This window comes from Homo sapiens, chromosome X (assembly GCF_000001405.40).
Source record: "Homo sapiens chromosome X, GRCh38.p14 Primary Assembly".
NCBI classification, from domain to species: domain Eukaryota; kingdom Metazoa; phylum Chordata; class Mammalia; order Primates; family Hominidae; genus Homo; species Homo sapiens.
In genome coordinates, this window is record NC_000023.11 from 41,698,865 (window position 1) to 41,715,137 (window position 16,273).

At 39.8% G+C, this 16,273-nt stretch overlaps 1 protein-coding gene across 11 annotated transcripts in view, besides 3 other annotated features; it reads right to left on the reverse strand.

Annotated features, from left to right (window-relative positions):
- Window positions 1–16,273, reverse strand: part of CASK (calcium/calmodulin dependent serine protein kinase) — a 408,621-nt gene that overhangs the window by 183,931 nt on the left and 208,417 nt on the right. The gene's annotated exons all lie outside the window — the stretch shown is intronic.
- Window positions 8,451–8,500: an enhancer, noted in NCBI's record as "active region_29561". NCBI's record gives its function as "activates an Ori minimal core promoter by ATAC-STARR-seq in GM12878 lymphoblastoid cells {active_cell/tissue: GM12878}" and the evidence as "EXISTENCE:reporter gene assay evidence [ECO:0000049][PMID:35858748]".
- Window positions 12,647–13,147: an enhancer, noted in NCBI's record as "H3K4me1 hESC enhancer chrX:41570764-41571264 (GRCh37/hg19 assembly coordinates)". NCBI's record gives its function as "activates a minimal SCP1, AML or CMV promoter by ChIP-STARR-seq in primed H9 embryonic stem cells {active_cell/tissue: H9 hESC(primed)}" and the evidence as "EXISTENCE:reporter gene assay evidence [ECO:0000049][PMID:30033119]".
- Window positions 13,148–13,648: an enhancer, noted in NCBI's record as "H3K4me1 hESC enhancer chrX:41571265-41571765 (GRCh37/hg19 assembly coordinates)". NCBI's record gives its function as "activates a minimal SCP1, AML or CMV promoter by ChIP-STARR-seq in primed H9 embryonic stem cells {active_cell/tissue: H9 hESC(primed)}" and the evidence as "EXISTENCE:reporter gene assay evidence [ECO:0000049][PMID:30033119]".

Sequence of the window (16,273 nt, forward strand, 5' to 3'; positions counted from 1 at the left end):
TTTTGATCAGAACTGAGTTTATTTTAATGAGATTTGGCTTGTATACAGTGCTCAGTTAACTATATATAGATATATTTTTTGAGATGGAGTCTCACTCTGTTGCCCAGGTTGGAGTACAGTGGCGTGATCTTAGCTCACTGCAACCTCTGTCTCCCGGGTTCAAGTGATTCTCCTGCTTCAGCCTCCCGGGTAGCTAGGATTACAGGCGCCCGCCACCATGACCGGCTGTTTTGTATTTTTAGTAGAGACGGGATTTCACCATGTTGGCCAGGCTGGTCTCGAACTCCTGACCTCAAGTGATCCACCCACCTTGGCCTCCCAAAGTGCTGGGATTACAGGCATGAGCCACCGCGCCCGGCCAGTTAACTATATTTCAATAAGTGCCCGCAAATATAATTAACTGAATAAAGAATAAGTCAAAGCAAAAGTATATTTTAAAAATAAGTAATATTTGAGGATAAATACTGAAATTTGCAGAAAAATTAGAGGGTCAGAAAAAGGTGACAAAATTATATTAATTACTTTGCCCTGACAATGTTAACACATACCATCTAAATGAAATTTAGCATTTCTGTTTGTATGGTTTTAAGTTATGAAAACTTCTATTTTCCTTCATGTCCTCAAACTTAAAAATTTATTTTACATTACTGGTAAACATCTTACATATCTCATTGTATACAGTTTGGTGAAATTATATTATCAATTATTATCACTTTTAAGGGACATTAAAATGAATATAAATACACTCATAGTTCTAGAAGCTGTCTCATTATACTAGATGATTACTATAAAGCTCTGCACAATGGCATTCTTAAGAAAATTTTAAAGTATACTCAATTAATTATTGCTATATTATTTGGAATAAAATACATTTTGATATAAATCAATCTGTCTATTTATAACAGATTGCTTACTGAGAGAAATCTGATAACATGCCTTAGAGTAACTTGAATCCTGAGAAGGTTTCTAAATTTTTAGAAAAAATATGCTACTGTCTTACCAAAGTTAAGGCTACTTATGACATATAATCTTTCATTTCTTACTAAGCATTAGTATTTGCAAGCAGGAAACAGTTCCTACCTCTCCTAACCCAAGGTTTAGTTCTAGAAGCATACAGGAAAAGGAAATTCAGAAGTATATACGTATCTTTACCTTGCAAAGACCTTCAGAACAGCTTTCTAAATAACATCTCATACATGCAAAACCAAATATGGGCAAAATGAATTGTCTGGCTGTCAGAGTGAGACCTCAGTGTTGAATATTGCTGTTAGTTTTAGAAAAGTATGCTGTATAGAGCCAGGTTTGATGGTGGTTGAATTTCTAAGATTAGGTCAGTAGAAAAAGACAATCCTCTTCCAGTACAGTTTTATTTTCAACTTTAAAAAATGGATTCTTTATTCCTGCTGACATAAAAGTAGAGGTAATATAACTATTTGAACGAAAGACTTACTGAAAGTTATCCCACAAAAGAAAAGCAATATGAAGAGAGTTCTCCCAACAAGCAACCTGGATGCTGCAGCAACATGTTAATGGGCTAATTATTTTTTAGGTTTTCAAAATATAATACTTTATCAGATATTAAAATATATTCTTATCCTTCAGTAAGGATAACACTGGGGAGCAGACACAAGGATAAACTTATCTGTGGAACTGAATACACATGTCTAAGCAGATCCTAGATGATATATGAGAAAAGTACAAAATACGTATATGACTTTTTTTTTTTTTTTTTTGAGACAGGGTCTCACTCTGTCACCCAGGCTGGAGTGCAGTGGTGCAATCTTGGCTCACTGCAACCTCTGCCTCCTGGGTTCAAGCAATTCTTCTGCCTCAGCCTTTGGAGTAGCTGGGATTACAGGTGCGTGCCACCATGCCTGGCTAATTTTTGTATTTTTAGTGGAGACAGGGTTTTGCCATGTTGGCCAGGCTGGTCTGGAACTCCTGACCTCAGGTGATCCGCCCGCCTTTGCCTTCCAAAGTGCTGGGATTACAGGCATTGAGCCACCATGCCCCACTGAGATTGCACCACTGCACTCCAACCTGGGCGACAGAGTGAGACTCCGTCTCAAAAAAAAAAAAAAAAAAAAAAAAGGTTCCTGTTAGTCAAGATGTGCTGGAATCTTGCAAAGGTGGGGTTAAGTGTGTTTTTGCAAAGCTCAGGTGACCCCCATACATTCTCCTCCCTCAGAGAAAATCACTGCATATATAGGAAACATCACAAAAAGCATCAGGAAGGAAGGGATGGATTAATAAATAATAGTGCTGTGCCTATTTAAAATAAAAGGCCAATTTACAGCCTTACCTTTTATCATACCCCAAAATTTATAAGGACACTCAAGAATTAAGTGTAAATAATGAGACCATAAAAGATTAAAAAATGACTAGTTCATCTGTAGATGGGAAAGAACTTTCAAACAAAATAATAGAAATAACTATAGGGAAAAATTCATAGATTTGACTTAAAAATTTAGATTCTTTGTCCCAAACCATAAAAACTGAAGCAAAAGTACAAAGCAGGAAAAATATTCACAACAGATATGACATTTACTGGAGAGCCTTTTATTTCAGCCACCAACAAACAAACTTCACTTGTAAAGAGGCTTGTAGGGGTATTTTTAATCGGAAGAAAAGATTTGAAACTCGGAATATAATCTGAATTATGTCAACTCAGACGAGAGATAAACTATGCGGCATTCCCATGTTGGATGATGTAGTGTCCTCTGTCATAGCTACATGGCCCAGCTGAGTGGCTGCCATAGTGCCTCAGTCAGTCCATGTTTTCAGATGAAGACTTGGAGAGCTGGTTGGGGATGGTAACAGTGAGCACAGAACTGGAAAGGAGGTAGTAAGTTTGTTCGAAACTTCTATTTTTCCTTTTATTTCCCCACTTCAAGTTCACATGCAAGGGAATGGGAAGCAAAGTAACATTTGTTTATTTATGTGCCCTTCACTGTTCTAGGTGCTTCCCATGCATTATCATCAGTTAATCTTCATGGCATTGTGATGTAAGCAGCAACTGTATTTTACATATGTAGGGATGCAAGTTGGTAGACTTCCATTCTACTGACATTGTCTCTGCTAATGCTTTTCACTTTTGTTTAGTTCTGTCCAAGCACAATGGTGATTGCTGAGATGTCTTTTATTTTAAAAAACATAAATTGCCATTAATATGTATTGGGGGTAAAAATTTCTGCTTACCACTCATCAAAATTGTATGATGTCAAAAAAAACAAAATCTTTGCCGGGCACGGTGGCTCACGCCTGTAATCCCAGCACTTTGGGAGGCCAAGGTGGGTGGATCACCTGAGGTCAGGAGTTCAAGACGAGCCTGACCAACATGGAGAAACCCCGTCTCTACTAAAAATACAAAATTAGCCAGGCGTGGTGGCGCATGCCTGTAATCCCAGCTACTCGGGAGGCTGAGGCAGGAGAATCGCTTGAACCCGGGAGGCGGAGGTTGTGGTGAGCTGAGATTGTGTCATTGTACTCCAGCCTGGGCAACAAGAGCAAAACTTCGTCTCAAAAACATAAATAAATAAATAAATTACAATAAAATAAAAAAACATAAATTGCCATTAATATGTATTGGGGGCAAAAATTTCTGCTTACCACTCATCATAATTGTGTGATGCCAAAGAAACAAAATCTTTGCCAGGCGTGGTGGCTCACGCCTGTAATTCCAGCACTTTGGGAGGCCAAGGCGGGCAGATCACGAGGTCAAGAGATCGACACCATCCTGGCCAACATGGTGAAACCCCGTCTCTACTAAAAATACAAAAATTAGCTGGGTGTGGTGGCACGCACCTGTAGTCCCAGCTACTCGGGAGGCTGAGGCAGGAGAATCGCTTGAACCTGGCAGGTGGAGGTTGCAGTGAGCTGAGATTGCACCACTGCACTCCAGCCTGATGAAAGAGTGAGACTCTGTCTCAAAACAAAAACAAAAACAAAAACAAAAAACAATCTTTAAAACTAGTCTTCTAACCATCACACATTTATATACTCTGGAAGCTCTCTCTGAAACATGTACGATAATCCAGAACAAACTCATACAGGTTGAATAGAAGAAAAAAAATGGAATCAAATTAGAGCATCCTACCCTTATTAGTTTTGCTTCTGGCCCATGAAATGCATAAAGAACCATCAGAAGATGGAAAGGCCTTCTAATTATGGTTTGGATACAGGTGTTGATGATACATGGAATCTCTTTTTGCTTTAATAAGTCATGCAAGTTTTTTGGGAGCAACAGTTAACTGTTACACTTATATTCTTTTTTGGTAATTTCACATATAAATAGTTTTTAGTTATAAAACGTTTCAAACATACAAAAATGGAAAAACACAACATAACAGGCAGCTAAGTACCCATCACCCCAATTGAAAAGATGTTAACATTTTCGTTTTACTTAAAAGTTTTTTCATACCCGTATACATCATCCAAAATGTTAGATATATTAAAGCTCACTTCACATCCTTCCCTGAGGAAACCTCTTTCCTGAAGTTGGTGTATATCACTCTGACGTATATTTTTGTGCTTTTACAACATACATATGCATAACAATATGCACTTTTTCTTTTAAAAATTTACACAAATGGTATCTTACTATTACATTCTTTGTAACTCTTTTCACTCAAATTTTGTTTATCTATGTAGACTCATGTAGGTCTTGTTCATTCATTTTCACTGATGTAGTGTTTTACTGCATGAATAAACAATGGTTCATTTCTCCATTTCCCCTAACAATGGGCAATTTGGTGGTTTCCACTTTTTCCACTAATTGAAACCATGCTCAAGTGAATTCTTTTGTATACCCAATGCCCATGTGTGAAGTTTATGGCTAACACCTAAAAGCAGAAATGCTTGGTTGTAAGGGTATGTACATTTTCAGCTTATCTCAGTTTTGACAAATTGCTTTCCAAAGTGATTTTACCAATTTATATGCCCATCTCACTACAAGGCAGAAATGAGTTCCTGTTTACCCACAACCTTACCAACACTTGGTTTTATCAGATTTACTAATTTTTGCCAATCTGGTAGGTATGAAATGGTATCTCATTGTGGTTTTAATTTGCACTTCCCTGATTACTAGTGAAATGAAGCATCATTTCATATACTTTTTGCTCATTCAGTTTTCTTCTTGGGTGAATGGCCTATTCATATCTATACCCCTCCCCCTCCCTTTTCCCCTAATGAGTTGCTTATCTTTTTTTTTCCTTTTTCTTTTTAAAAAATTGTTGAAGTAGTTCTTTATATATTCTGGGTTCTAAATCCTTTGTTATTTATATAGTTTGCAAATAACTTCTAACACTATGCACTTGTCTTTTACTTTGCTTATGGTTTCTTTTGTCAGACACTAGAAGCAAAGCTAAAAATTTTTCTAATCAATAAATTGAAATAAACACTGGCACTTATGCATTCCTCAAGGACCAAGCTAAAGAACTTGCAGATGAAATTATCTTATAATTAGATAGCTTGGTATTTCAGTTATAAATAGTATAGAGGAGTCGAAATCAGGTGTTCCTTGAGAACATGAAAATAGAAATGTTTTCTAAGAGTTCAACTACAAAATCCAAATACCTGAGTACAAATATGTAAAACAACTTCAGAGACAGAAAGTCTCTTAGACCAGGAGATGACCTGATTAAATGCATTAGCATATCTACAGAAAGAATTGGCTGTTCACTAGGAGATGAGGGAAAATTAGAAGAAAAAAAGTGCTAGAAAAATGTTGGTATTGCCCATCCAACACAGTCCAGGGGATTGATCTTGGCCAATGTATACGGATTATTATGGTCCCATCATTAAGGCCATGGCAAGAATTATGGTAAGGCTGAATCCAATAGGTTTTCTTATCCCAATAATATTAAGCATTATTAAATAACAAACTGAGAGGCAGCATAAAAGACTGGTTAAAAGGGTGAATGATGCAGTCAGACTGCCTGAGTTATTTCTGCTGCCATCACTTACAATGTAACATTGGGTAAGCTCTATTTCCTCTACTAAGAAAACAGGAATTATAGTAGTACCTAACTCATAGGGTTGTTAGGAGGACTCAATGAGTAAATAAATGTACCTGGCCAAGTAGAAACATGCAATATATGGTATCTAAATACCCAAATGCCAAGGGAAAGGCAGAGAAAATACATAAAATGGAATGGCTAGAAGCTGAGGGTAAACATCAGAACTAGGAAGATACATAGTGGAAGTTGATCTGGATCAAGGGAGGTGGGGGAAGTAACTCAGAAAGAGTTATTTTATTCAGCCTCAGCTTTCACTAATAATAGCAATGTCCAGGACAGGAGAGGTAACAGATCCATTGTATTTTATGCTAATCAGAACCATACTCTGAAACTTGAGCAAGTAAGGAGGAGAGTGTGAGGGCACCTGGCAGGATGCCATTAGAAGAAATGTTGGGCCAGGCACAGTGGCTCATGCCTGTAATCCCAGCATTCTGGGAGGCTGAGGTGGGAGGATTGCTTGAGCTCAGGAGTTCCAGACCAGCCTGGGCAACATAGCGAAGCAGTCTCTACAAAATATTAAAAAATTAACTGGGCATGGTGGCATGTGCCTGTAGTCCCAGCTACTCAGGAGACTGAGGTGGGAGGATCACTTGAGCCCAGGAGTTTGAGGCTACAGTGAACTACGATCATGTTACTGCACTCAAGCCTGGGTGACAGAGATCTTCTAAAAAAAAAAAATTAGAAGAGATGTTAATACATATCTGATTCTTGGTTTTTCTCCGTCTAATCAGAGACACCAAACAGGTCACCATATTGCATTCTGAAGTGAGGACAAGGCACCTTCATCTAAACCTGGCTCCATAGCATGAACTCAGGCAGGCCCAGTAATCACGTAAATGTGGTATATTTTGAAATTTTGTCCAACAGCAAATTTCTAAACCAAAAGTTCTTAATGCCTTCCATTAATACTGCTGGCATAGCTATTATAGGCCCTTTGCAGACAGTTCCTTCCTACATTTCCTGCCTTGTCCTGTGTGCCATTACTTATTGAGACTTTCTAGCACCCCGGCACCCCTCCCCGTGGTCTGCTTTTTTCCTTTCCTGTACTCAGCAGCACCTCTCTCTTCCCCAATTCAGTTTGTCTCTTTGTTTTCCTAGTTTCTCTTTTAATGGCCTTTCTCACAATTTGGTGCCCTCTTCTCTTGGGTCCTCTGAACTGTCAGAAGATGAAACACTTCATATTTGTGTGGAAATTCAGTTTGTTCTCAAAAGAAAAACACTGTTTCCTCTACATGAAAAATAACTTTCAGCTGGCTGCAAAGGGAACTGGTGAGGTTTGCATGCATGTTCATATTCAGTTCCCCTTTGTGGCTAGTGAAACTTGAAAAACACAGGAACACACAGGGTCAGCTCTTGTGGGGACTGATTACAGGGTTCCAAAAAGATGTGGCAAGTAGGGAGAGGATGCAGCTAAGTAAGTGAATGCAAGTCTCATGGCCCAGTAGTTTGACATTTATGATCCTGAAAATAATGAAACCTTGAATAATGGTAGGAGGGAATAAGCATGGTAGGAGGGAAAGCTACCCCACCATGCTAGACTAATCATCTTTCTACATCCTTTTAAGCTCTGGTATTGAAGATGTCAATGAACTTATCCAGCTCTCAGGATCAAACTAGCTATTGGGAAGCAAGAGCAACAGACTTTTCTTCTGGTTTTATTGAAAAGTTAGATTAATATTCTGGAAAGAGAAGGTAAAGGGAGAGGATTTATAGAAGATAAAAAGCACAAAGGAAACATCATGGATTCATGGCATATTATATATACATATACACATATACTTTTTTTTAGAGACACAGTCCCACTCTGTCACCTAGGCTGGAGTGCAGTGGCACGATCATAGTTCACTGTAGCCTCAAACTCCTGGGCTCAAGCGATTTTCCTGCCTCAGTCTCCCACGTAGTAGGGACCACAGGCAAGTGCCACTGTACCCAGCTGGATTCATGGCACACTGAATATACCTTTTAATACAAGAAACAACCAAAACAACATGACAGCTCCAAGACCAAAGTGGGACAGGGTGGGTATCTCTCACAAAGCAAAATTTCCTTTTCTTTTAGGAATATTACCCAGGAAACTACGAACTCTGAGATACACATACTATAGTAATCCCTAAAGAAAGAGCCAATTCACTGCATTTCAAGGAGAAAATATAACAAGTCTAGTTAGAACATTAAAGTTGAAAGCACATCCAAGGAAATGTGTTAGATTAAAAATTGCCCCCAATTCCTGGCCACTCTTCTCATCCAGAGGTGGAGTCTACTTTCCCAGTTGAATCTGGGCAGGTATTAAGACTTGCTTTGACCAATAAAATGTGGTAGACATTGTATGACATTTGAATAAGGCCTTAAGAGACCTTGCAGCTTCCAGTTTTGCCCTCTTGGAACCTGAGACCATCACATTGTAAAGAAGCCCAGGATGAAAGATCACATGGAGAGAGGGGCACAGCCTGCTCAACTCTTCCAGGTGATGCTCCAGACACGTGAGTGAGGCCATGTTGAACCAGCTAGCCTCAGCTGAGCTGACAGATGACTAAGCTGCATGAATGACCACCAGGTGAGACAAACAGAACTACCCAGCTGAGTCTAGAACAAATTGCAGAATTGAGAGTGAATAAATGGTTCTTGTGTTAAGCCACCAAGTCTAGGGGTAGTTAAGTATGCAGCAATAGATAAATGATGCATAAAAAATATAAATGAAGAATATGTGTAGCACTGATTTCTAAAAAGATGACAATAAATATAGTAATTTAACAAAAAAGACAATGCCTTGAGTTATTTTACTTGAAAGCTTTGTGTGTGTGCATGAGAGAGCGAGAGAGAGAAAGAGAGAGAGACAGAATGTACCTTCCAAACCAATGAAGGGCAGGGAGTAGTGGAGCTGCTGAAGATTTAGTAACAAACCACTTGTTCTAGGAGATAAAAACAAGTACATGCTCCCCCTGATGAAGAGAGCTGAATAAAGAGGGAATGGTTATTATAAGCTATCTCTTCACTTTGGGAGGCTGAGGTTGGTGGATCACGAAGTCAGGAGATCGAGACCATCCTGGCCAATATGGTGAAATCCTGTCTCTACTAAAAATACAAAAATTAGCTGGGCGTGGTGGCGCGTGCCTGTAATCCCAGCTACTCGGGAGGCTAAGGCAGGATAATCTCTTGAACCAGGGAGTTGGAGGTTGCAGTGAGCCGAGATCGCGCCACTGCAGTCCAGCCTGGCGACAGAGCGAGACTCCATCTCAAAAAAAAAAAAAAAAAAAAAATTACCACTTAAGTGGAAGGGATATGTAGCGTAAGTTGTTACACTGACAGGAGGAAGTGACTATAGTCGAGGATAGAGGTGATTTCTCCTATACTGTCTTCATTAGGTGAAAATACTTTAAATTACATTTATTAATAGACATAACATGTTTTTATTACAAGCTTTTCAGTGTTATTTGACTTTTAAAACTATGTCCATCAATTTCTATGATTAAAAAAAGTTAAAGAAAAACTAAAAGATACAGTAATAAAAACTTTCACATACTGAAATGTAAGACTTTCTTTCTACCACTAGGATAACTGTAGTTGTGAATACTTTACAAAAGTAACTCTTGTGATAATCACTAGTACAAAACAAAACAAAAACTATCCCTAAAGGACATACCCTATTAAGGGCAGATGAGTGGCACCGGGCTTTCATCTTAAGGACAGAAATCCATTGTCTATACAATTACTTTTTTTCTATCATGTGTAAAGTGGTTTTCAGCTACTAAAAGAAATTTATTGTTGTATTAGAGCTTCAAAAAATCCCCAAACTTTTCTATTGCTTTATGTTTCTAGCTGGAAAATAGTGCAATGTGGGCAGTTTATGCGTCAGCAAAAGTGGTTTAACTAGGGCTGGTAATATATTACCCTCTGCTGGCCAAGGCACTATTAAAAAAGTGACCCTCTTAAAGACTTTTTTCAGTGTTATTATAAAATTTAACGCAGGTTTCTTCTTTCCAGTTTTTTTTTTCTCCAGATATTTCTGGAACTCTAGAGAACTTATACTTCCAAGTTCAATACTTTATTTGTAGGTTTATTAAAACCATACATTTTTAGGCTGGCTTTTGATAGAGGAAAGGGAAGAAGAGGCAACATGAAAATATTAGAAACTATGCCACATACAGTGCTGTTTGAGAAATAATATAAAACAACAAGACTTGTTTAGAGTGATGTCTTAAAAGGACTACTTCAAATGTAATACATCCACTCACCAAAAGATGTCTTAAAAGGACTACTTCAAATCTAATATATCCATTCACCAAAAGATTACCAAGATGCCACCACCAAGGAAACAGCTGATTTAGGCAAGAAGAGAATCATCGAAGAATGTCAAAATCCAGTGGGTGAAAGGGAAACACAGTATACTCATAGAGTCTTAAAATATCACCTTCAGATTACTTATCAATTACAATGAAAACAGGGTACCTTTACAGTGGAGAGTTGGCAGGAGTTAATAAATCTCGAGATTGAAAATTGGAAACAAGTACATAAATGAGATATATTTTTGGTCATTGGGGATAGCTGGTCTCCTTATTTAAAGCAATAAACTAGATTCTATTGAGTATTATCATATATTATGAGAGTCCATATAAAACAGTAAAGAATGTGGGCTCTAAAGTCAGACTATCTGGGTTCAAATCTAGACCTTATAATAGAGCAGTTTTATCACTGTAGGCAAGTTATCCTCTGTGGACCCACATCCATCATCTAGAAAGTGACAGTAATAATAGAATCTATCTCAGAGATATTTCTAAAATTATATGAATATATATATAAAAGCAGATCAGTGGCTGTCACTTATTATTATTAATTTTCTAAATGTGGTTCTCAGAGAAACCTGTGACTTTCATGCTTGGGGCGCTTAAGAGAAAATGAATACAGACACTAATGGGTATAGGAGGGAAGACATGAGATATTCAATTCTTCTTTCTCTTCCCTTGACATCTATCTCTTTTTTTCCCCTTGATTAAGGACAGGAAGTTACATGGAGCAGGGGACTTCACCTTAAGACAATTGTATCTAGAAATTCAAAAGAAGTGATTGGTAATAAAATGGCCAGGAAACCTTGGCCCTAGAAAGAGACAGTGAAGTGGAGAATTCTGGGCACTGATATATGATGCCTTTTAAATTCGCTAAATCTCACTGCAATCCAAGTCACTGTTTCCCAGGGTATAGATTTTGTGTGTGTGTGTGTGTGTGTGTGTGTGTGTGTGTGTGTGTGTGTGTGTGTTTTGTACCTGGGGTGATACAATGGAACAGCATTATTTTTGGAATTCTATCCTCAACTGCTTTATTCATAGAAATCTTTATCTACTTTTGGCTTTTTAAAGAATCTACAGAAAAGAATGGTTAGTTCTGAAGCATAATATGAACCAAGTTTGACTGATTTGAAGATGTCAAAATTCAAAATTTGTCCCTCAAATATATTTTTGCCTCACGTAATTCAATGCTAAAGTTTCTCCCCTATTCTAAACCTGCTAATTTCCTGTCTGCTTTTCAACTACCACCCCTGAAATGATTCCAGTTCTTATGACTGCCACTGAAGTCGCTAGAGTTTCTATGCTGTGCATTCCTAAAAGACAATGTTTAGCCAGCACACTCAAGCTTATATGAAAAGCCAAAAGCCAAAGCTGAAGGATAGTGAAACTTTGATGATCAGGTCTGTGATACTATAAAATATATATTTGGTCTTCAACCCTCTTTCCAGGCATACAACTGCTAAAATCCTTAGAAACTCCAGAATGATGTCTTTTTGTATGCTAATGGTTGACTGATGGCTGGAACCCTTAGGTAGTTTCAGGATGAGGCTGGTAGCCTTGAAAGACTAGGCAGGATTAGAGGGTTGGGACATTAAGCCCCATCCCCAACCTCCAAGGAGGGGAGAGGGGCTGAAGGTTAAATTAATCTCCAATGGCCAATCGTTTAACCAATCATGCCTACATAATGAAGCCTCCATAAAACCGCAAAAGGACAGTGTTCGGAGAGTTTCTGGATAGCTGAACTTGTGGAGTTTCCCAGATGGTGGTGCCTCTGTCCAGAGAGGACAGGAAAGCTCCGTGCCCCAGGATTATGCATCTTTTCATCTGTATCCTTTATAATAAACGGGTATATGTAACTGGTTCCCTGAGTTCTGTGAGGCGCTCTAGCAAATTAATTGGGCCCAAAGAGGGAGCCGTGGGATCCCTGATTTATAGCTAGTCAGTCAGAAGCATAGGTGACACAGCCTGGGGCTAGCCATTGGCATCTAAAGGTGGGGGCCAGTCTTGGGGACTAAGCCCTCAACCTGTGGAATCTGATGCTATCTCTAGGTACATAGTGTCAGAACATAACTGAATTAGAGGACACCTAGCTGGTGTCAACTGCAGAATTGCTTGCTTGCTTGTTGGTTGGGGAGAAATCCCCACACATTTGGTCACAGAAATCATCTGTGTTAATTGTTGTTGAAAGAGTAGAAAAGTACTTTGTGAGTTTTGTTTTCCTTCCAAACTATGAATTGGTTTCAGTGAGGTAGGGTTTGCTAGAATGGACTTGGCTCACAGAAACATGTGGTTTGGGAAGAGAAAGAATGAAAGTGACAGCAGCAGGAGGCAGACAAAATGCCTAGACAGATAGGGGCGAGTCCTCAGTGAAATTGACCTTCAAGCTGAAGACAGTTTAAAGCCTACCTACATGTCCCGGGTAAATCCATGGACTGGATTGAGAACCTGTCTTCCTGTTTGGTGTGCTTTCCTCTGATTGATCCCCGCCCCTCACCTATTTTACATATACCTACCCTTCCCTAATTGGTTTTCTACACTGTTGTGCCCACCTTTGAGTGGTGTCTTCGCTTTAACCTTTTCTGCATACTCACAAACCAATCAGCACACATGCCCCATTCTGAATCCATAAAATACCATGGACCCAGCCACACTGAGAGAGACAAACCACCCGACTGCAGGGGTGGGGGGGCCACCCGTGTCCCCTCTCTGCTGAAAGCTGTTCTGCTGCTCAATAAAATTCTTCCCTACCCATCCTCACCCTTCAAATTGTCAGCGTATCCTCATTCTTCGTGGATAAGGACAGGAGCTTGGGAACTGCTGAACGCAGGTACAAGCCATAGCACAGGTGGGGTGAGTGGGCCTGACGCCTCAGCAGGCCCATGGCCAAGCAAAGGCCAGGTAGGGGGGCGTTGCTGGCCATGGAGGTCCCTGATTGGCAAAGTGGCCAAGAAAAATCCTGCGTCAAAAAGGTGGGAGATGAGGAATCTTTGATTCCTGGGTGGCCATGTGGTTTCCCACTGTTTTGAGCTGCAGCTGTGCTGCAATCAGCTACTAAAGGTAAAAGTTACTGGTGGAATTCAGAGATGGATGCAACTCCCGGGGAGTTGGTTCACTGGTTGCATGAGGGTATGCAGACTAATATGAAAAAGTGAAATACTAAATTCTTTGGTGTTTATCTCTAATAGCTAAATGAAATTAAAGGAGAATGCTAGGTTAGACTTTGTCTGTCTGAGCCCAGGCCACTAGCCTCAAAGCTGACCCCCAAGGAAAAATTATGCAAGGACACTGAAGTACCTTTACGATTGAAACTGCCTTTGCAAAACTGTAACTAAGGAAATTATGACAGTGAAAAATATCAGACCTAACCAACTCCATCTTGCTTCTAACCTCTAAACTGTCCTTGTCCATTACTGGGCATAGGCCAAACTAGCCTTGGGAAGGAATTTAATTTATAGTTTAAATAATAGCCCTTCCCAAAAGCTAAACTGTTCTTGTAAAACGAATGAAAGGCCACCAGCCACCAAGTACGGATGAGAGGGGCTGGAATTCTAAATGTTACCAGCCATTATTCTGGAGGTCATAAGATTTGCAACTTACATCACTATCGTGAACCTAAGATTGGCCTTTTGAGATATCTTTTCAGGTATTTGCATTTCTAACAACTGGATGGCCCCACCTGGACCTGCCAACCAGTTCTGTGGCCCCCTACCCAGGAACTGAATCAGCATGAGAGGACAGCTTTGACTCCCTATGATTTCATTCCAGAGCCAACCAATCAGCACTCCTGATTCACAGCCCACTACCCACCAAATTATCCTTAAAATCTCTGATCCCCGAGTCTTCTGGGAGACTGATGTGAGTAATAATAAAACTCCGCTCTCCTGCACGGCTGGTTCTGCGTGAATTACTTTTTTTCTATTGCAATTTCCCTGTATTGATAAATCAGCTCTGTCTAGACAGCGGGCAAGATGAACCCACTGGACAGTTACACAACCTGTGGTTATCAAGAAGGGTAGTCAATGTGGGGAAAGGGTAAAACTGATAAACTATTGAAACTGGAGGGTATACTGTGAAGGAACTGTCAGAGCAGTTTCTTTGGTTTTAAATGCTCAAGAGTGGAAGAGCATGTTTGGTTGAGGTAGGACCTGCAGTTCATTATTGAACAATCACAGATGGAAAGGTAGATTTCCAGACACACAGGAGGTTATTTCCAAGGGAATGGCCAGCGTGGTGGACTGGACCTGTTTACCCTGAGAAGGGGACTGTCCAATTTCACCTATAAATGCCAAGTGGTGTACCCTGAAGCAGCAGCTCATTTGCTTCCTATGTAGACCATGTGGGACTGGCTTTATGATGACTGAGATATTCACTCACTGAATACATCCATTACTCTGGCTGTAGTAAATGCTATGGCTAAGGGAGCCTCTTTTGTATGGGCACCAATGAAAACATGAGCGTAATTAACAAGAGACTGGGGAAAGGCAGAGGGGAGAGTCACAGGACTCATCCCAGGAAGGTGGAAAGTCTAAATGGTTATTGAGAAATAAGGTGAATGAAGAAAACATTGATGGGGTGAAACTAAGAGGAAAAAGAAAGGAGAGTCATGGGACTCATCTAAGCAGGGTAGAGTCTTTAGAGGGCTATTAAAAAATGGGATGAATAAAGTGGAAATCGATGGGGTTAAAACAAAGGTCATCACTATAGAAGGTTGGTAGGGAGATTCTGCTGTTCTCCTAACGGTAAGAGGATCCAAACAGGTTTGGTGTATTTATCCCAGTTAGGAGAAATTGAAAAAATGAGAGGAAGAGATTACAATGAGAAAGCTGACCAACAATTACTTGGAGCAGTGTTGAGGCAGGTTAATCAAGACAAAGATTGACAAAAGGGCTAAGGTCCCTTGGCTCAACCCTCTGCTGGGGATTCAAAGCTTTTTTCTAAGGAGAAAATGGTAAAATGGTCTGGGAGTGAAGAAGAGAAATTCTGGGACTGGGACAGAAAGTAAGGGTTGGTAGGAATACGAGATTTAGAATGTTTATAAACAGGCTTTATGTAAAGAAGTTATGTCTCCTTTACCTGAATGTTTGATGGAACTGGATATTATGTCTGGGTGGGGAACACTTCCCCTACCTAGTACTGTAAACTCAAAACCTGTTGGTAAAGTCGTAATAGAGGCTACAGTTAGGAAAGTAAGCATTGAGAAAATTAAGGTAAGTTGGTACATTTGAACACACTTTACATGAAGTGGTTGTATCTCTTTCACTTGACTGTATTATGGGGATATTGTGTCTGACTGGGGAATGTTTCTCTTACCTTGTATTGTAAAACACCCTTGTAGCAATATTAATTGAACATGCTAAATGGCAAACCAGTAAGATTACCCAAGCCCACAATCTGTAGAATAGAAGCTGGAATATCATAGGGACAAATTCTCCATTTGCTACCCCTTTGTCAGCGTTTACTGGGGCTTACTCAGAAGTCTGTGAGCATCTCCCAGTGACAACTACTGGGACTTTGCAGTAGAGAATTTCCACTTGGGGGTATTTACTACCTTGCTATGGGACATTAACTGAAGTTAACCCCTATGACTGAAGGACATAAAATGATCTTGACACCTGAAATACCCATGCTTTCTCACATGATGTCAGAGAAACATTCAAATGGGGATGGCAGTGCCCAGAACACTTCCATAATAAAATGGAAATGGTTTATACAGGAGCATCCTCCCTGGGAAGTGCAAAGAGGAAATACTCTCATGCAGGGAGCCTCTTTTCCCCTAGGACTGACTCTGGAACTGTGTGAGGAACTGCGGGATTCTACTGAGACTTGGACAGGGCCCCGTAAACAGCTCTCAACTGACCAACAAAGAGTTGCTTGGTGTGTAAATGACAGTTCCAAGGTGAACAATCTTGTTTGGAAGGATGCCACTCTTGATCAAAGAAGGTAAGACCAAATTAGCTTGGTGGCTGAATTGCATTC